Raw genomic sequence first — 22,269 nt, forward strand, 5'->3', positions numbered from 1 at the left:
GGTGGGTGGCTCACGCCTGTAATTCCAGCAATTTGGGAGGCTGAAGGAAGATTGTTTGAGTACAGGAGGTCGAAGCTGCTGTGAGCCATAATCGTACCATTGTACTGCAGCCTGGGCAAAAGAGGGAGACTGTGTCTCCAAAACAAAACAAAACAAATCCCCCAAACCTACAGCAATTCACTTTATTTTAATGAGTCAGCCACAAAATGATGCTTAGTATTGGGACTGGCAATGAGGAAGGGTTACCTGAACAAATCCAGCCTTCTAAATTTTTTCAACTGCTTGCTTAGGGAAAACCCCATTCCAGTTTTTTGAGTGGGATCTGAGGAGCCAGACCTGACAGCAAGAGGGAGCCTGGAGTACACACAAGAAAATCAGGTCTGTGATGAACAAGCTGCCTGGCTGCTGAAGATGACTGCTCAAGAGGAAGAAAGCCCCAGGAATCTCCTAGAGTGGGAGCTGAGCAGCAGAAGAGCAGCCACATCACCTCTGCATCTCAAAAACCACGTGGGCTGGAGCCTCACTCTGTGGCTCAGGGGATGCCAGTACTTAAACCATTATGTGAATTACTAATGTACAAAATGTGCATAGTCAGGCCGTGCTCAAGTACTGTTAGACAAGTGCATAGAAACTGTAAAACTGGACTTTCCTGTCTATGAGCATCAACAGTAGTCTTGAGTTTTCACTTTAAAGGATAAACTCAATGTTAATTAATAACCAAAGTCTTTGGTTACAATCATCCAGAATAATGCTGTCCAATAGAAATATAATGCAAGCCACATATTTAAAAAATTTTAAATTTTCTAGCAGCTACATTAAAATGTTTTTAAAAGATGAAATAGGTTTTGATAATGTTTTGTTTAATCCAATCTATCCAAAATACTAACATTTCTACACGAAATCAATATAAAACATTATGGAAATATTTACATTATTTGAATAAATACAAAATCTTTAAAATCCAGTGTGTATTTTACACTTAAAGAACATCTCGATTCAGACAAGACGCATTTCAAGAGCTCAATAGTTACATGTGGTTAATGGCCTGTATTCAACAGAACAGGTTTAGAAGAAGTCTAGAATTCTAAGCATGTCAGGTTTGAATCTGCATCACAAATTTAAGATAATGATACTCTTACCAAATAGAGAAGCCCATAAAAATAACAGTTTCTCATTAGTGCTGGTAAAATTCTCTACTTAATGATAAAAGAAGAAAATGATCACTATATATTTACCTTCTTTAGACTATATCCTGCATGAAATATAATTGGTGGCAGTAAAACATTGAAGAAGATTTCTGGATCAAATGTCATCTGCCAGAAAGGAAAAAAAGGATAGTTAGAATGATGCTCCTTTGGGTCATTAAAAAAACATGTTTCAAAAAACAGTTGTAATTGCTTTTGCTAAGCCTTTGTGAGGCATATTAACTATTAACTTGGCAGAGATGAAGGTAGGAAAAAATGAAAATTTGGAAATTCATAAATACAGTATAACTGTAGCTTCTAAAGGTAAAATCTACATACTTCCACACTATAGCTAACAACAACAACAAAAACTCAGTGAAATCTCTCTGAGAAAAATGTCTTTTTATATATATATAAAATATATATGTATATAGGCTTCTTACAAGGATTTATTTAAAGTTTTCCCCAAATAAAATATTTTTGGAAATTGGTTCTTCGCTTTCCCTATTTTGTCCCATTCCAAAATTTAAAACATTTTCCAGACTCCATGGAAGAACACACTTGAACTTGAAAATTGATTTTTCTAGTATTTGTTTATTGGGTTTTACTTAAATGTCAAAATAAACTTGGCCATAAAGCAAGTATGACTTGGTATGAAGTGCAGTGAAATTGTCAGGCCTCTGAGCCCAAGCTAAGCCATCATATCCCCTGTGACCTGCATGGACCAGATGGCCCAAAGCAAGTGAAGAATCACCAAAGAAGTGAAAATGGCCGGTTCCTGCCTTAACTGATGACATTCCACCACAAAAGAAGTGAAAATGGCCTGTTCCTGCCTTAACTGATGACATTCCACCACAAAAGAAGTGAAAATGGCCTGTTCCTGCCTTAACTGATGACATTACCTTGTGAAATTCCTTCTCCTGGCTCATCCTGGCTCAAAAGCTCCCCCACTGAGCACCTTGTGTCCCCCGCCCCTGCCCACCAGAGAACAACCCCCTTTGACTGTAATTTTCCACTACCTACCCAAATCCTATAAAATGTCCCCACCCATATCTCCCTTCACTGACTCTCTTTTGGGACTCAGCCCACCTGCACCCAGGTGATTAAAAAGCTTTATTGCTCACACAAAGCCTGTTTGGTGGTCTCTTCACACAGATGCATGTGAAATTTGGTGCCATGACTCGGATCAGGGGACCACCCTTGGGAGATCAACCCCTGTCCTCCTGCTCTTTGCTCCGTGAGAAAGATCCACCTACGACCTCTGGTCCTCAGACTAACCAGCCCAAGGAACATCTCACCAATTTTAAATCCGGTAAGCGGACTCTCTTTACTCTCTTCTCCAGCCTCTCTCCCTATCCCTCAACCTCTTTCTCCTTTCAATCTTGGCGCCACACTTCAATCTCTCCCTTCTCTTAATTTCAGTTCCTTTCCTTTTCTGGTAGAGACAAAGGAGACACATTTTATCCGTGGACCCCAAAACTCCGGCGCCAGTCACAGACTCGGGAAGACAGTCTTCCCTTGGTGTTTAATCACTGTGGGGATGCCTGCCTGATTATTCACCCACATTCCATTGGTGTGTGATCACCACAGGGACACCTGCCTTGGTCATTCACCCACATTCCCTTGGTGGCAAGTCAATTGCGGGGACGCCTGCTTTGGCTGCCCAGAGCTGCTCCCCACACCCTTCTCCATGTCTCTACCCTTCTCTTTAAATTTGCCTCCTTCACTATAGGCAAGCTTCCACCCTCCATTCCTCCTTCTTCTCCCTTAGCCTGTGTTCTCAAGAACTTAAAACCTCTTCAACTCTCACCTGACCTAAAATCTAAGCATTTTATTTTCTTCTGCAACACCACTTGACCCCAGTAGAAACTCGACAGTGGTTCCAAACAGCCAGAAAACGGCACTTTCAATTTTTCCATCCTACAAGATCTAGATAATTCTTGTCGTAAAATGGGCAAATGGTCTGAGGTGCATGACATCCAGGCACTCTTTTACACATCGGTCCCTCCCTAGTCTCTGTTCCCATGCAACTTGTCCCAAATCTTGCTTCTTTCCCTCCCGCCTGTCCCCTCAGTTCCAACCCCAAGTGTTGCTCAGTCTTTCCAATTTTCCTTTTCTACAGACCCAACTGACCTCTCCCCTCCTCCCCAGGCTGCTCCTTGCCAGGCTGAGCCAGGTCTCAATTCTTCCTCAGCCTCTGCTCCTCCACCCTATAATCCTTTTATCACCTCCCCTCCTCACACCTGGTCTGGCTTACGGTTCTGTTCCACGACTAGTCCTCCCCCACCTGCCCAGCAATTTCCTCTTAAAAAGGTGGCTGGAGCTAAAGGCATAGTCAAGGTTAATGCTCCTTTTTCTTTATCCGACCTCTCCCAAATCAGTTAGCATTTGGGCTCTTTTTCATCAAGTATAAAAACCCAGCCCAGTCCATGGCCCATTTGGCAACAACCCTTAGATGCTTTACTGCCCTAGACCCATAGGGGCCAGAAGGCCATCTTATTCTCAATATGCATTTTATTACCCAATCCTCTCCCAACATTAAGTAAAGCTTCGAAAATTAAATTCCAGCTCTCACACCCCACAACAGGACTTAATTAACCACGCCTTCAAGGTGTACAATAATAGAGTAGAGGCAGCCAAGTAGCAATGTATTTCTGAGTTGCAATTCCTTGCCCCCACTGTGAGACAAACCCCAGCCACATTTCCAGCACACAAGAACTCCAAATTCCTGAACCCCAGCTGCCAGGGGTTCTTCCAGAACCTCCTCATCCAGGAGCTTGCTACAAGTGCCGGAAATCTGGCCACTGGGCCAAGGAATGCCCGCAGACCAGGATTCCTCCTAAGCCATGTCCCATCTGTGTGGGACCCCACTGAAAATCGGACTGTTCAACTCACCTGGCAGCCACTCCCAGAGCCGCTGGAACTCTGGCCCAAGGCTCTCTGACTGACTCCTTCCCAGATCTTCTCAGCTTAGCGGCTGAAGACCGATGCTGCCTGATCACCTCGGAAGCCCCCTAGACCATCACGAACACCGAGCTTCAGGTAACTCTCACAGTGGAGGGTAAGTCTGTACCATTTTTAATCAATACAGAGGCTACCCACTCCACATTATCTTCTTTTCAAGGGCCTGTTTCCTTTGCCTCCATAACTGTTGTGGGTATTGATGGCCAGGCTTCTAAACCTCTTAAAACTCCCAACTCTGGTGCCAACTTAGACAATACTCTTTTAAGCACTCCTTTTTAGTTATCCCCACCTGCCCAGCTCCCTTATTAAGTCGAGACATTTTAACTAAATTATCTGCTTCCCTGACTATTCCTGGGCTACAGCCATACCTCATTGCTGCCTTTTCCCCAGTTCAAAGTCTCCTTCGCATCTTCCCCTTGTATCTTCCTACCTTAATCCACAGGTATGGGACACCTCTGCTCCCTCCTTGGTGACCAATCATGCACCCCTTATCATCCCATTAAAACCTAATCACCCTTACCCTGCTCAATGCCAATATCCCATCCTACAGCACGCTTTAAAAGGAGTAAAGCCTGTTATCACTTGCCTGTTACAGCATGGCCTTTTAAAGCCTACAAATTCTCCTTACAATTCCCCCATTTTACCTGTCCCAAAACCAGACAAGTCTTACAAGTTAGTTCAGGATCTGCGCCTTATGAACCAAATTATTTTACTTATCCACCCCGTGGTGCCAAACCCATATACTCTTTTGTCCTCAATACCTTCCTCCACAACTCACTGTTCCGTTTTTGATCTTAAAGATGCTTTTTTCACTATTCCCCTGCACCACTTATCCCAGTCTCTCTTTGCTTTTACCTGGACTGACCCTGACACCCATCAGTCCCAGCAGTTTACCTGGGCTGTGCTGCCGCAAGGCTTCAGGGACAGCCCTCATTACTTCAGCCAAGCTCTTTCTCATGATTTACTTTCTTTCCACCCCTCCACTTCTCACCTTATTCAATATATTGATGACCTTCTACTTTGTAGTCCCTCCTTTGAGTCTTCCTAACAAGACACCCTCCTGCTCCTTCAACATTTATTCTCCAAAGGATATCGGGTATTCCCCTCCAAAGCTCAAATTTCTTCTCCATCCGTTACCTGTCTTGGCATAATTCTTCATAAAAACACACATGCTCTCCCTGCCGATTGTGTCCAAACTGATCTCTCAAACCCCAACACCTTCTACAAAACAACAACTCCTTTCCTTCCTAGGCATGGTTGGATACTTTCACCTTTGGATACCTGGTTTTGCCATCCTAACAAACCCATTATGTAAATTCACAAAAGGAAACCTAGCTGACCCCATAGATCCTAAATCCTTTCCCCACTCCTCTTTCCATTCCTTGAAGACAGATTTAGAGACTGCTCCCACACTAGCTCTCCCTGACTCATCCCAACCCTTTTGGTTACACACAGCTGAAGTGCAGGGCTGTGCAGTTGGAATTCTTACACAAGTACCGGGACCGCGCCCTGTAGACCTTTTGTCCAAACAACTTGACCTTACTGTTTTAGACTGGCCATGATGTCTCCATGCAGCGGCTGCCACTGCCCTAATACTTTTAGAGGCCCTTAAAATCACACACTATGCTCAACTCACTGTCTACAGCTCTCGTAACTTCCAAAATCTATTTTCTTCCTCACACTTGATGCATATACTTTCTGCTCCCCAGCTCCTTCAGTTATACTCACTCTTTGTTGAGACTCCCACCATTACCATTGTTCCTGGCCCAGACTTCAATCCAGCCTCCCACATTATTCCGGATACCACACCTGACCCCCATGACTGTATCTCTCTGATCCACCTGACATACACCCCATTTCCCCATGTTTCCTTCTTTCCTGTTCCTCACCCTGATCACATTTGGTTTACTGATGGCAGCTCCATCAGGCCTAATCGCCACTCACCAGCAAAGGCAGGCTATGCTATATATCTTCCACATCTATCATTGAGGCTACCGCTCTGCCCTACTCCACTACCTCTCAACAAGCCGAACTCATTGCCTTAACTCGGGCCCTCACTCTTGCAAAGGGATTACATGTCAATATTTATGCTGACTCTAAATATGCCTTCCACATCCTGCACCACCATGCTGTTATATAGGCTGAAAGAGGTTTCCTCACTACACAAGAGTCCTCCATCATTAATGTCTTTTTAATAAAAACTCTTCTCAAGGCCGCTTTACTTCCAAAAGAAGCTGGAGTCATTCACTGCAAAGGCCATCAAAAGGCATCAGATCCCATTGCCCTCGGCAACGCTTATGCTGATAAGGTAGCTAAAGAAGCAGCTAGTGTTCCAACTTCTGTCCCTCACGGCCAGTTTTTCTCCTTCTCATCGGTCACTTCCACCTACTCCCCCACTGAAACTCCCACCTGTCAATCTCTTTCCACATAAGGCAAATGGTTCTTAGACCAAGGAAAGTATCTCCTTCCAGCCTCACAGGCCCATTCTATTGTGTCATCATTTCATAACCTCTTCCATGTAAGTTACAAGCCGCTAGCCCGCCTCTTAGAATCTCTAATTTCCTTTCCATCATGGAAATCTGTCCTCAAGGGAATCACTTCTCAGTGTTTCATCTGCTATTCTACTACCCCTCAGGGATTGTTCAGGCCCCCTCCCTTCCCTACACATCAAGCTCAGGGACTTGCCCCTGCCCAGGATTGGCAAATTGACTTTACTCACATGCCCCGAGTCAGGAAACTAAAATACCTCTTGGTCTGGGTAGACACTTTCACTGGATGGGTAGAGGCCTTTCCCACAGGGTCTGAGAAGGCCACCGTGGTCATTTCTTCCCTTCTGTCAGACATAACTCCTCAGTTTGGCCTTCCCACCTCTATACAGTCCGATAACGGATGAGCCTTTACTAGTTAAATTACCCAAGCAGTTTCTCAGGCTCTTGGTATTCAGTGGAACCTTCAAATCCCTTACCATCCTCAATCTTCAAGAAAGGTAGAATAGACTAATGGTCTTTTAAAGACACACCTCACCAAGCTCAGCCTCCAATTTAAAAAGGACTGGACAGTACTTTTACCTCTTGCCCTTCTCAGAATTAGAGCCTGTCCTCGAGATGCTACAGGGTACAGTCCATTTGAACTTTTATACGGACGCACTTTCTTACTCAGCCCCAACCTTGTCCCAGACACCAGCCCTCTAGGTGACTATCCTCCAGTCCTCCAGCAGGCTAGACAGGAAATTCGCCAGGCTGCTAATCTTCTCTTGCCTACTCCAGATTCTCAACCATATGAACACACCCTAGCTGGACAATCAGTTCTTGTTAAGAATCTGACCCCTCAAACTCTACAACCTCGATGGACTGGACCCTACTTAGTCATCTATAGTACCCCAACTGCCGTCCACCTGCAGGATCCTCCCCACTGGGTTCACCGTTCCAGAGTAAAGCTGTGTCCATCAGTCAGCCAGCCTAATCCCCCCTCTTCCTCCTGGAAGTCACAAGTACTCTCCCCTACTTCCCTTAAACTCACTTGCATTTCTGAAGAACAGTAACAACCCTTATGAGCCTAATACATCCCTTCATTCTATTAGGCCTGTTCATCCTTATCCTACTTTTTGCAACAGGGCTTTATGCAGTCACCCCCACTACTTGGGCAGAGCCCCCAAAACTAGTCATCCCTACTATCTTCTGTCTAGTTTTATTCATCATTCTCTACTACTTATAAATGCCCTACTCTTGTTTACACTGCCGGTTTACACTGTTTCTCCAAGCCATCACAGCTGTTGTCTCCTGGTGCTATCCCCAAACTGCCACTCTTAACTCCCTCTTAGAGTGGATAGAGGATCTTTGCTGGCAGGGCACCCTTCAATACTTTCACCCTGATGAAGTTCTATTCTTTACTTTTATACTCACTGTTATTCTCATTCCCATCCTTATGCCACCCTCTATCTCTCCCCAGCTATCTCCACCACGCTATCAACCTTACTCACTCTCTCCTAGCCATTTCTAATCCCTCCTTAGCAAACAATTGCTGGCTTTGCATTTCCCTTTCTTCCAGCGCCTACACAGCTGTCCCCGCCTTACATACAGACTGGGCGACATCTCCTGTCTCCCTAAACCTGAACTTCCTTTAACAGCCCTCACCTTTACCCTCCTGAAGAACTTCTTTACTTTCTAGACAGGTCCAGCAAGACCTCCCCAGACATTTCACATCAGCAAGCTGCCGTCCTCCTCCACACTTACTTAAAAAACCTTTCTCCTTATATTAACTCTACTCCCCCCTTATGTGGACCCCTCACAACACAAACTACTATTCCTGTGGCCGCTCCTTTACGTATCTCTCAGCAAAGACCCACTGGAATTCCCCTGGGTAACCTTTCACCTTCTCGATGTTCCTTCACTCTTCATCTCCAAAGCCCAACTACACACATCACTGAAACAATTGGAGCCTTCCAGCTCCATATTACAGATAAGCCCTCTATCAATACTGACAAACTTAAAAACATTAGCAGTAATTATTGCTTAGGAAGACACTTACCCTGTATTTCACTCCATCCTTGGCTACCTTCCCCTTGCTCATCAGACTCTCCTCCCAGGCCCTCTTCTTGTTTACTTACCCCTAGCCCCGTAAATAACAGTGAAAGGTTACTCGTAGACACTCAACGTTTTCTCCTACACCATGAAAATCAAACCTCCCCCTCTAAGCAGTTACCCCATCAGTCCCCATTACAACCTCTGATGGCTGCCGCCCTAGCTGGATCCCTAGGATTCTGGGTACAAGACACCCCTTTCAGCACTCCTTCTCATCTTTTTACTTTGCATCTCCAGTTTTGCCTTGCACAAGGTCTCTTCTTGCTCTGTGGATCCTCTACCTACGTGTGTCTACCTGCTAACTGGACAGGCACATGCTCACTAGTTTTCCTTACTCCCAAAATTCAATTTGCAAATGGGACCAAAGAGCTCCCTGTTCCCCTCATGACACCAACACGACAAAAAAGAGTTATTCCACTAATTCCCTTGCTGGTCGGTTTAGGACTTTCCACCTCCACTATTGCTCTAGGTACTGGAATAGCAGGCATTTCAACCTCTGTCACGACCTTCCGTAGCCTGTCTAATGACTTCTCTGCTAGCATCACAGACATATCACAAACTTTATCAGTCCTCCAGGCCCAAGTTGACTGTTTAGCTGCAGTTGTCCCCCAGAACCGCTGAGGCCTTGACTTACTGCTGAAAAAGGAGGACTCTGTATATTTTTAAATGAAGAGTATTGTTTTTACCTAAATCAATCTGGCCTGGTGTATGACAACATAAAAAAACTCAAGGACAGAGCCCAAAAACTTGCCAACCAAGCAAGTAATTACGCTGAACCCCTTTGGGCACTCTCTAATTGGATGTCCTGGGTCCTCCCAATTCTTAGTCCTTTAATACCTATTTTTCTCCTTTATTTGGACCTTGTATCTTCCATTTAGTTTCTCAATTCATCCAAAACCGTATCCAGGCCATCACCAATCATTCTATGTGACAAATCCTCCTTCTAACAACCCCACAATATCACCCCTTACCACAAAATCCTCCTTCAACTTGACCTCTTTCACTCTAGGTTCCCACACTGCCCCTAATCCTGCTGGAAGCAGCCCTGAGAAACATCGCCCATTATCTCTCCATGCCACCCCCCAAAAAAATTTTTGCTGCCCCAACACTTCAATACTATTTTATGTTATTTTTCTTATTAATATAAGAAGGCAGGAATGTCAGGCCTCTGAGCCCAAGCTAAGCCATCTTATCCCCTGTGACCTTCACTTATACGTCCAGATGGCCCGAAGCAAGTGAAGAATCACAAAAGAAGTGAAAATGGCTGGTTCCTGCCTTAACTGATGACATACCACCACAAAAGAGGTGAAAATGGCCCATTCCTGCCTTAACTGATGACATTACCTTGTGAAATTCCTTCTCCTGGCTCATCCTGGCTCAAAAGCTCCCCCACTGAGCACCTTGTGTACCCCGCTCCTGCCTGCCAGAGAACAACCCCCTTTGACTGTAATTTTCCATTACCTACCCAAATCCTATAAAACGGCCCCACCCCTATCTCCCTTCGCTAACTCTCTTTTCGGACTCAGCCCGCCTGCACTCAGGTGATTAAAAAGCTTTATTGCTCACACAAAGCCTGTTTGGTGGTCTCTTCACAGAGACTCGAGTGAAAGAAATGATGTAGAAATTCTTGAATCCAATATCTATCTGCTCTTTGCTGGGTAATCTGAAAATAAAAACTCACTGATCTCTAAAACTTTCCTGGACTTATTATCTTATTTCTCTACTTCTCTTTATCCTTTATTCTTTTCCCCCCCACCTCTTCCCACATCCCCTACCCCCCGTCCCCCACCCACACACACAGGCATTCATTATTTTACCACTAAGAGCTTCTCACCATTAGACTCCTCATCAAAATCAAATGTATGGGTTTCACAACTCTAATTTACAATTTTCTTCCCCTTTTATGCCTGAATTCTTACTCATCTTTCAAGCTGCCTCTCAAAAGTTACTTCCCTGTGATATCTGCCCGATTTGCCATTCCAAACCGGCCACTCTCTGTTCTGTGATTTTTAGCATTTTGGCCCCTCTTTTGTGGCATCTGTGTTTCATTGCATACTTTGATGATTATTGGTTTATATTTGACTGTTTCTCCTATTAAATTGGGATCGTATCAAGGATCACAGTGATGCCTTAGTCTGCATTGCCTTCTCCTCTGCCAGTGCCTAGCAAATTGCTCAATATATATTTGCTCAACTGGAAAAAAAAACTTACTTTTGAGAGTCAAATGTATTAAAATGGAATGAATTATACCCACATCACAGGTAAGGATTTTTTAATTAAAAATTTTAAAAAGCCAAAAGACAAATTTTGCATATTTTTACTCATTCTATAGCTAAAAATTGAAACAATTGAACTCATGGAGAGAAAGAGTAAGTAGAATGATGGTTACCAGAGGCTGGGAAGGGTATTATGTGGTGGTGGGGGGGGCAAGTGGGGATTGTGAATGGGCACAAAACATAGTTACATAGAATGAATAAGATCTAGTATTTGAGAGCACAACAAGGTATGTATAGTCAACAATAACTTACTGTACATTTAAAATTAACTAAAAGTATGATTGGAATGTGTATAGCACAAAGAAATAATAAATGCTTGAGGAGATGGATACCTTCACCACTAAAATTTTTAAAAGCCTCTCTTGGCTTCATGTTTTACTCTGGGCCTGTTTGGGCATTGTCAGAACCTCCCTTCACCCTTCCTCATACTGGCTCTCCGAGGAAGTGAAATTAGAGCTGAGATCCAAAGGCAGAAATGTGACCGAAACAGGAGATGAGTGGAGGAAACAGGATCCCAGCCAGAGCATAACACGCACAGAGATCTGAGGTAGAAAACAGTTGTGTGTAGGCTGGGCACAGTGGCTCATGCCTGTAATCCCAGCACTTTGGGAGGCTAAGGAGTGTGGATCACTTGAGGTCAGAAGTTCAAGACCAGCCTGGCCAAATTGGTGAAACATTGGTTTTAAATATAGGATGAGCAGATCATCATTTTCAGCTTCTGAGTTGATTGTTGCAGTCCAAAAAGTTTTTTTACTCAGATTTCTGAATGAGCCAGTATAACAAAAGAAATGGTGGAGTGGGCAAAGGCCATAGTGTGGGGCCTCACTGACCTCTGGCTTTTAATATATGAAAACTGAGGCACTAAGGAGAAAAACAAACCATTTTATTTCATGATCTATGTTCCTTCTATTATATAAATTACTTGGAGTAGTGTTTAAGGGCATGGACACTCAGAGCCAAGCTTCCTGGGTTCAAATCCGTTTCTACTAAAAATACAAAAATTAGCTGGGCATGGTGGCTCATGCCTGTAATCCCAGCTACTTGGGAGGCTGAGGCAGGAGAATCGCTTGATCCTGGGAGGCGGAGGTTGCAGTAAGCCGAGATGGCGCCATTGCACTGCAGCCTGGGCAATAGAATGAGACTCTGTCTTTAAAAAAGAAAAAAGAAAAGAAAAGGCAACAGCTGTGTGTGTTCAGAAACCCAAAGGCCAGAGGGGCTGGGTGGAGTGGGCAAAGGCCATAGCATGGGCAGATGGGGTTGAAGAAGACCCAGGTGGAATTGGGCAGTGCTGGGAGGTGATCCCAAATGGAGAAGGTGCCGGTAGAGGGCTGGGCGGGGATGAGAGACCATCTCGATGCTTTAAGAAAGTCACTTGGGTGGCTTCTGCAGAATCCCGGTGAGAGAGGATGGTGGCCGGGAGTTGGGGAGAGAAGGCAGTACCCAAGTATACTGGGGAGGCAGAATGAGCAGTCAACAAGTTAGGTGTTGAGGGTAACAGGAAAGGGAGAAATCACTTCTAGGTTTTTTGCTTAGGTAGTAAGAAAGCCTAAGGTCAAATGCCTGCTAAATCATAGCTGCTCATCAAACGTTGGTTTCCTCTCACTAGCACATATTCCACATGTCTAGAAAAATTGTTTTACTTACATTTATGAATCAGACATGATTAAACTCCAGCCATTTCTTTTGTTATACTTGCTCATTCAGAAACCTGAGTAAAAAAGCTTTTTGGACTGCCACAATCAACTCAGAAGCTGAAAACGATGATCTGCTCATCCTATATTTAAAACCAATGTATTACATTAATTTATTTTCAGAAAATCAATCTAATTCTACTAGGTTTTGTATTTTATAATTGATTCTGGGCTCTTAGTACATTTGACTTTTGGTGTACAAAGCTTGGCTTGTAATTATCTTTTGAAGAGAAGCACCAATGTTTTGATTCTGTTTTTACCTCACTGACCTCTGGCTTTTAATATATGAAAACTGAGGCACTGAGGAGAAAAACAAATCATTTTATTTCATGATCTAGGTTCCTTCTGTTATATAAACTATTTGGAGTAGTGTTTAAGGGCATGGACACTCAGAGCCAAATTTCCTGGGTTCACATCCTAAGCTCCTTGACTTGGACAGCTATTTAACCTCTCTGTCCTTCAGTTTTCTCATCTTTACAATGGACATAATAGTGTGGTACCTAATTCTAAGATGGTTATAAGAATTAAATGAATTAATATTTGTAAAGCCCTCAAAGCATTGCCTGACATCTAGTAAGCACATTTTATTTATTACAAAAGAAAATAAAATATTTGAACGAATATTTTCAAATCATAGCATTTGAAGAAACTGCCTATTGTCAGAAACTCCTAAAGGTTACACAACTGTGCAAAATTTGAGGAAAGATCTTAATTTTTCATTTAAGTTTGTTCCCTTTCTAAGAGTATCAGGAACACCATTATTGATCTATTTTTATGAGGCTTCTTTGAGAATATATCAATGCATATTTGAAAGTTTTTAGCATAGAGATGTATTTCTGAATGCTTGAGGGATGAAGCAGTGCAGCTGTGATCATCTGGAAGAGAGAAACACAGTGGTACAACCTCCTGGACAGAAAATCCCTTGCCTCAGCAGTTTTTCTGCAAAAATCGGGTTAATCACTCAACCAGAACATTTCAATAATGAAAATGCCCCATTCCCTGCATGCAGGTTAACTAATATCCTATTGAATTATATTTTCTGGAGCAGCCAGATGAAACTGGCAGGCTGAGAATGGCATGCAGCATGCAAGGATTTATTTGTGTATACAAAACAGATTTGTGTTCTTTTCAGACTTGCTGTAAGCTTACGAACTGCTAAATCAGAGTTCTGGGAGTAACTCCAAACCCAGACAATTTCTCAGAAATGGCTGGATCTGCTGCTGTACTAACCTCCAGATGGGAATTCCACATGTCATTCTCCCCAGACTTTGTGTTCAAATCGTGGCCTTGGAGGTGGGGCTGTTTTTAAGGCCCAAACAGTTAAAAAGAAATTATTGTAACATGAGGAGAAAAAATCCAAGCGAGGGATGGGTGAGAAGAGCAGAAAGCTAAAAATGTTCCCGCTTAAGCCTTTCATTAGTCTTTTAAGATACAAATCTTATGGACAAGCACTGCCTAATAGAACTTTTTGTGATGGTGGAAATGTTCTTTCCTTGTACTATACAATATGGTGGCCACTAGCCACATGAGCCATTGAACACTTGAACAGTAGCTAGTGCAACTGAGGGACTGAATTTTTAATTTTAACACTGGTAGCTAGTGGCAATTGGAGAGTACATTTATAGATGGTTACTAGAATTTAAAATTTATACTATTTCCTTTTTAGATGTTCTGTCATACTACAAAAGGTGTGACTAATTTGGAGCAACAGACCTCCAACTCTGAGATGGAAACATTACGTATGTCTTATGAAAACAGTGAGATTTTTAAATATTAAAATTCAATTCTTAAAGATAAAATGGGAGAGAGAAAAATATCAATATGTTCACGAGGATGCAGCAAATTTTAAATATTATCTCATATGTGCACCAGTATTTGGCTAGCAATGGCCCAGACATATATTTACAGAGATAATCAACTTGAACACTTCCCAGAGTGGAAAGGATATGTACCAAGTTAATTTCCAAGTTCATCAGAAGGTTACAGATATAAAATTCTGTTTGGGTCTGAGTATTAAGGAATCCATTGACTCAATATGACTTATCTGGGAAGAAATATCAGTGTTCCACTGAACTACTAAATAAATAATCACTAAAACAACCATCCTAGTGAGGGATTGTGATTTATGTAGTACATTCCTTCCAAAGAGGTCTTTTAAAAACATTGTTTCATCAATTCTGACAACATTCTCAAGTGGTAGCTGGCAAATGCAATTATCCCCATTTTCCAGAGACAGGAGAATAAATTAATGGCTTACCCAGGGTCAATCAATAAGACAGGACTATCACTGGGAATTGGATATATATGCATGGGCAAATGAAATGTGTGCTTTCCAAGGAAACATGAGGCTAACATAACCATTTTAAGCAAGATTTAGGAGTGTTTAAGAGAAGTTGGAACTAAGAAGTAGGCTCTTGCTGTTTTGCAATTGCTGATTTTTTTTTAAGTGGTTAACAATAATGTGTTAATCATCTTCAATGCTTTATTCATTAGAAATTTAACAACCCTCTTTTTGCTGCGAAGCACTTGAAGATATATTATAGAGAGACTGACTCCATGAAGGTTATAGTCCAAGAAAGGGAAGACGCTGTATAATTGCATCTAAGGTGCTGGGATAAGCTGTAATTCAGAGTTTTCTATGACAGGGACACCATTCTGGGCTTGCTGATCCCCCAGGAAATTTTGATGTTGAAGCAGCATATGAGTTGGATTTTGAAGAATGGGTAAGAGTCTATTTGTGGGGCATTGACATGCAGAACCATGCTCTCCTGCCTCCCCCGGGGGCAGTGGACCAGAGTTCCCCAAACCACAGAGAACACCGGTAGCTTCCTGGGGTTTCAGTTACAGTTGGTAGCAAGGAATTTAAAATATTAAAATAAATGCAGATATATGAAAAAGTGAAACTAAAAATCTGTATCTGTTTTTAATACAAATAGGAGACTTCAAAGGAAACATCATGGCTCAGGCAGCTTTGGGTCACACCTAGGGACAGCTCAAGTGTGTGCATTTCTTTTCCTCTGCCTTAAGTTATGCTTTGGTTTGAGAAGCACCAGAGTGAGAGAAAAAAGAATACTCTCAGAATACCTAATGAAAATATACCACCTAGTAGTTAGATGACCTTGGTCTATTTACTTAACCTCTCTGAGCCTCAGTTTCCTTATTCGTACTATGGGCATGAAAATGCCTGCTTCCTAGAGTTGCTTCTGAGGATTATATGTAATAATGAATTTAAAGGGTTCTGCTTGGTACCCAGCCCTATTTTTCAAGAAGTGTTCACTGGCCCGGCACAGTGGCTCACACCTATAATCCCAGTACTTTGGGAGGCCGACGTGGGTGGATCATTTGAGGCCAGGAGTTTGAGACCAGCCCAGCCAACATGGCAAAAAATGGTCTCCAGTTAAAAAACAAAAACAAAAAAACAAAAAAATTAGCCACGCACAGTGGCACACGCCTGTAATCCCAGCTACTCTGGAGTCTAAGGCACGAGAATCGCATGAACCCGGGAGGCAGAGGTTGCAGTGAGCCAGGATTGCATCACCACACTCCAGGCTGGGTGACAGAGAGAGATCTTGTCTAAAAAGAAAAAAAAAAAAGAAAAAGAAAAGAAAAACAAGAAGTGTTCACTAGATCTGAATCTAAATGAAATAAAATATTGAAGCAATGGTTTGAGAATATGAGGCACAAGGAACACCTGGGGAACAGAAATAGACAACGTTGGGTTCCTAAGGAATAGAGGGGAAGGTAAAGTCCAACAGGAGGATACAACCAAGATTGTGGGCCTCTCTCAGATCCACTGGATTTAAACTATGTTTACTCAAACCTGTTGAGCTATTTTACACAAGCAGAATTAAATAATAAAATGGCTACTGGAAATATACTTTGTATTACTCCTAAGAAGGGTAATTTGGTAATAGCTATCAAAATGTTAACTGTTGATACCATTTGATTCAGCAACACCTCACCGGAGAATTTATCCTGCAGATATGCTTGCACATGTGTGGAATAATATAATTACAAGAGTATTTATTGCAGATGAAATAATAGAAAAAACAAATCATTGAGGATGATTGGACCATGGACTAGTTAAATAAATTATGATATAATTCATAAAACGCGCCTGTTAAAAAAGCTGAGGAAACTGCTCGCCTATGAAATAATGTGGCTGTGCTCAAAAATGTATTGTCAAGTCAAAAGAGCAAGGTGCAGAATGGCATGTCTGGCATGTGTAACAGAAATCTCTATGGCCTCACAACACCCATTTCCTTTTTGTCCTGGTCAGACATGTAGACTACATTTCCTTGTAGTCAGGTGGGACCATATGACTGAGTTCAGGCCAACTGAATATGGACGGAAATAATATTTATCACTTCCTAGTCCCTAAAAATCCCCCAGATTTTCCATGCTTTCTCTCCTTCCTTCCTTTTTCAGCTTATGTAGAGCATTCGGCAGCGGTTATGAATCCCTAGAGACTAACAGAGAGACTAGATTAAAGGAAGTCAGAGCCATTAATGGCTCCAGGAGAGGAACCCAGTGCCCCATCATTGACCTAAAAAGCCACACTGGATTGAGACATGCACAAGAAATAAACATTTACTACATTAAGCCGCTGAGATGTGATGGTATTTTATTAAAGCATTTGGCATATGTTGTGATTTGTGTTGTATTTTTTTAAAGAAGGACATGAAATATTTACCTGTGTATAGAAAGAGTAACTATTGGTTGCTTTGGGGAAGACAGGGGAGAACTTGGTGGCAGGAAGAAGGGCATTTGGCATAAGAATTTTCTGTGTACCGAGTAAGGGACTAGGGGTGACCTTCTCGGTGCTGGTTTCATATCTGTAAATACAGAGGTGACCACTGCTTAGAGCAGTACATGCCAGAATTTTCCCCAATATGATACAAACAGAAAATGATAATATTGGGTCAATGAGGCTAAATTGGAAGGAAATTAGGGTTCTGATGAAGGTGCTCATGGCTGAAGACAAGTCTGGGGCTCTGCTTATCCTCGGTCCAAGGATGAAAAGATCCATATCTCGTGACACACCTGTGATCCATTAACACACCAGCCGGGGAGTACTGGAAAGGCTTTAACCCCCTGATCCTGATCCCAACTTTAATTCACCCCCTTTTAGGGAATAGAGAGTGACTAGTCTGATTGGTGAATTGGAGAAGAGGAATTAAGTGTGTACCTCTCAGCCTCCTCCTCTGTTCACATTGGAATTAGCCTGCTTGATGAGTGAATCCCCTCTCTCTTCCTCCCGCTCCCAAACTTTGTAAGAGCAGAGCCCAGCATGGAGGCCAATTCTGTCCAGTTGGGTCTCTCTGGGTGTGTAAGTCTTTCTAATTCTGGTGTAAAGGTGAGCAAGGCAGCCCGCAGACCAAGCCCCATTATTTTGCATAGTTTTTGCTCTCCATCTTTCTGATTCCTGTATCTATTTATCCGCTGGCTACAACATGAGGTAGGCAAAAGAGACAATGAATTAACCCTTCAAGATTCTCATATACTCTTTTGTACCTTTTGAACATCAGGCCATGTGAATGTATTACCTAGTCAAAAATATATACATTTTTAAAGAAGATGTCTGTGCAGATTAGTTTGCAGAGACCTCAAGATTGTCCTGGATGAAGGGAAACCATTGCCAGGCTGCAGTTACCAGAATGAGCTCAAGGTAATGATAGTGGGAATGAAGGTGGTTGCGATAGAATGGAAAGAAAGAAACAAGACCAGGAGACATCCATTCACTCAACATGTGTTTCCTTAAAATAAGCCAGGCATATGGCAGGGAGGACTAGCAGGGTTTGTGGGTAAAATAGAGGTAAAAATAGAAAACTCCATAAGGAACCTATGTTTCTGCACCTGGGTGAGTGACTGAGAGAATATGGCTGAGGAGGAGCTGACTCAGCAGGAGTAAGAGGGGTCAGAAAGGCTGAGGGCTCATGGAGGCTTCTGCTCACTAAGTTGGAGGTGCCTGTACGTCACTCAGAAATATGTGCCTGGTGGCAAAGTCAGGGCCAAGGAGAAATGATCCAGAATCATCAGTATGGAAAAAATGAGTTGATGAGCATAGATGGGGTATCTGGGAAATGAGTGCCACAAAAAAGAGCCAAGGATCAAGGACAGAATGCTGGAAGGGGATGCAGTGGCCCTACCAGGGAGAGAGACAACAATCAGAGAGAGGAGGAGAATGAAACCCAGGGCTGCAGAAAGCCAGAGAGAGGTGGAGGATGAGAAGGAGCTGCCACTCCTTCATGCAGGGCTGCCAGGTTTAGCAATCCAAACACAGGATGCTGAGTGAAATTGAAACTTCGGATAAACATCACTTTTTCAGAATAATTTCGTAATATTGCATTTGAGACATAATTTTCCCCAGTCATTGACTATGTATCTGAAATTCAATAAACAGAAAGAGATGTAAGAAGGCAAACCCCAAAAGTGGACCTGGCTGAGAGAATGGCTGGGGAGGAGCCGACTCTACCTTCCCTACTCTGATGTCAGCTGCTGAAAAAAGGAGTTTAAGGACCAAGGGGAAATCCTTTGGGTTTCATAATTAGGAAGTGGTTTTTGATCATTTCTGACTGCCTTACACCAAGAAGTGGGTACAGGAGGTTAAGGAAAAAATGAGTGATGGCAAGGTAGGAACAGTGGGCTCTGGGCCTTTCACAGGGCAGGCTGAGCAGTGGCTTTTTCAGGAATCTGATAAATGGCTCTTGGATGAACAGGAGGAACAAAGGAGAGGGAGAATAAAAGGACAAAGGCCACAAAAGGGAAGGAAGGAGGCAGGAGAGGACATCAGGAAACAGAGTGGTAAGGGCCAAAATAATGAAGATGTGCTAAGTTAAAAAAATTAAAGAAGTGATAAGAGCAGCAAAATTAATAAATTAATGCTTTTAAAATGGGGAGAAATTTTACTCAAAGACATTCAAATCTGTGGACTGGCCAAATTAGGGGATGGTTTTCATAGTAAAAAAATTAAAAAAGCACTCTTCCATTTCTCCAGGTGTTTACCAAAGAGCCCTTGTACATGGCAGGCACTTGTCAAAGAAATGGGTCAGACTAACAGCTTAGTGCCATTGACAGTTAGGCCATCAAAGGGAGAAGCTGCCTTAGAGGCCACTAGTTGGGGAGAAGCGTGGCAGTAATGGAAAGTGGGGACTATTGCCCCCTCCTTCCTGTCTTAGCAGTTTTGACTTCACCTGTTTGACACACTGTGAAGCCCCTTTTTTGTTAGATTTTCTTTGAATGAAGGGCTTTTTGCTATTTTAAAAAAAAAAAAAGGTTTAAAACCCTGACCTAATATCCGCCGGGCGCAGTGGCTCACACCTGTAATCCCAGCTCTTTGGGAGGCTGAGGTGGACGGATCACGAGGTCAAGAGATGGAGACCATCCTGGCCAACATGGTGAAATCCTGTCTCTACTAAAAATACAAAAAAATTAGCTGGGCATGGTGGTGTGCATCTGTAGTCCCAGCTATTCAGGAGGCTGAGACAGGAGAATCGCTTGAACCTGGGAGGTGGAGGTTACAGTGAGCCGGGATCGTGCCACTGCACTCCAGCCTGGTGACAGAGCAAGATTCCATCTCAAAAAAACAAACAAACAAACAAACAAAAACAACAAAACAAAAACCTGACCTAATATAATCCTCCAGAGAGATCGAGAGACATGTGCAAGGTCAAATTTGTTCAGAGGCAGCACCAAGCTTGGAAATCTAAACCAGAGATGTTTTTCTCTTATTTTATGTATGTGCTTGACTTCACCTCAAACAAGTTTTAAATGATATGCTAGAGTTGAAGTTTCTCCTCTTCTCACCCAGCCCCAGAAATAATCAATGCCCTGAAGTCAGTGCCCTTTCCTTCCATTACTGTATTTATGTATTTCATATATGTGTAGTCGTAAACCATAGTTAGTATTGCTTGTATATTTTTACTTTATTATATTCGAGACAGGGTCTTGCTTTGTTGCCCAGGCTGGAGTACAGTGGTGTGGTCATAGCTCACTGTAACCTTGAACTCGTGGGCTCAAGTGATCTTTCCATCTAAGCCTCCCAAGTAGCTAGGACCCCAGGTGCATACCACCACAACCACCTAATTTTAAAATACTTTTGTATATTTGTATGTTTTAAAATTGTATCCTAAATACCGTTTTACGTTTATTGAATATAAAAGGCATCCTCTTGCCTTTCACATTCAACATAGTTTTTGAGATTTATGTATATTAATATACAAGTGATCTCATCCATTCACTTAAACTGCTGTGTAATGTTCTATGGGATGAACATATCATGATTTGATTTTTTTCCCTTCTCTTGTTACCATTACTAAAAATGCTGCAATGTATATTCTTGTACTTAAGTCTGTGTATACATGTGAGAGTTTCTCCAGAAGTGAAAAATACCTAGAAGTGGGCCTGCTGGGGTATGAGGTATATAAACCTTCAACTTTAGTAGGTATCACCAAATTAGAGGGGCTACCCAATTTACACTCCCATAGTAAAGTGTAAGAGTATTTCCCCAGATTTTAGCCAATACTTAGTATTGACAAATTTCTAATTTTTGGCAATCTGGTAAGCATGAAATGATATCACATGATCATTATCTTAAAGTTTTTCATTACTAATTAAAAGAACATACACTCCTCATTTATTGGCCTTTGTGGTATCTCTTTAGTGAATTTTCTGATCTCTTTTACTCAGTATTAGTTTTTCTTATTGATTAGTTCTTAATGTAATCTGGTTACTATTCTGCTTTGGTTATTTAGATTTCAAATACTTTCTTCTATTCTCATGATCTCCTTAAGCTTTTAGACTTTGACTTTTAACTTTGTTGATGGTGTCTTTTTCATGCAAAAGTTTATTTTTTTTTTTATTTTTTTTTTTTTTGAGACGGAGTCTCGCTCTGTCGCCCAGGCCGGACTGCGGACTGCAGTGGTGCAATCTCGGCTCACTGCAAGCTCCGCTTCCCAGGTTCACGCCATTCTCCTGCCTCAGCCTCCCGAGTAGCTGGGACTACAGGCGCCCGCCACCGCGCCCGGCTAATTTTTTGTATTTTTAGTAGAGACGGGGTTTCACCTTGTTAGCCAGGATGGTCTCGATCTCCTGACCTCATGATCCACCCGCCTCGGCCTCCCAAAGTGCTGGGATTACAGGCGTGAGCCACCGCGCCCGGCCAAAAGTTTATTTTATTGTAGTAAAATTTATTCCATTTTTATATTATTATTTGTGCTTTTGGTGATATCTTTAAAAAATATTTTCCTATCCTGATGTCATAAATATATTTTCTCCTAAAGTTATATAGTTTGATTCTTACTTAAGTCTCTAATCCATCTCGGATTTATTTGTGATAAGATGTGAGATAGGGATCTAATTCTTTTTCTTCCATATTGATAGCCAATTGTCCTAGGAAAATTCATAGGTATTTGGTAATTAATCCTTTTCCCATTTATTTCAGTTGGCTCTTCTGCCATTTTCCAGTGCTTTTTCAAAGACCCAGAAGACATTTACTCTAACAAATATTTTATATCTGTTATCTGATAGCCTATTTAATGTTTCAAAATACAGGAAAAGCTTTATACAGATAGGT

At 42.3% G+C, this 22,269-nt stretch overlaps 1 protein-coding gene across 4 annotated transcripts in view; it reads right to left on the reverse strand.

Moving 5' to 3' along the window:
* Nucleotides 1-22,269, reverse strand: part of SLC9A9 (solute carrier family 9 member A9) — a 583,247-nt gene that overhangs the window by 530,369 nt on the left and 30,609 nt on the right. For all 4 annotated transcript variants that reach the window (XM_017006203.2, NM_173653.4, XM_017006202.3 and 1 more), the window contains one exon: nt 1,236-1,313. In XM_017006203.2, the coding sequence (XP_016861692.1) occupies nt 1,236-1,313 (78 nt within the window). The remainder of the gene's footprint in view (nt 1-1,235; nt 1,314-22,269) is intronic.

Source organism: Homo sapiens, chromosome 3 (genome assembly GCF_000001405.40).
Source record: "Homo sapiens chromosome 3, GRCh38.p14 Primary Assembly".
In the NCBI taxonomy this organism is placed as follows: Eukaryota; Metazoa; Chordata; class Mammalia; order Primates; family Hominidae; genus Homo; species Homo sapiens.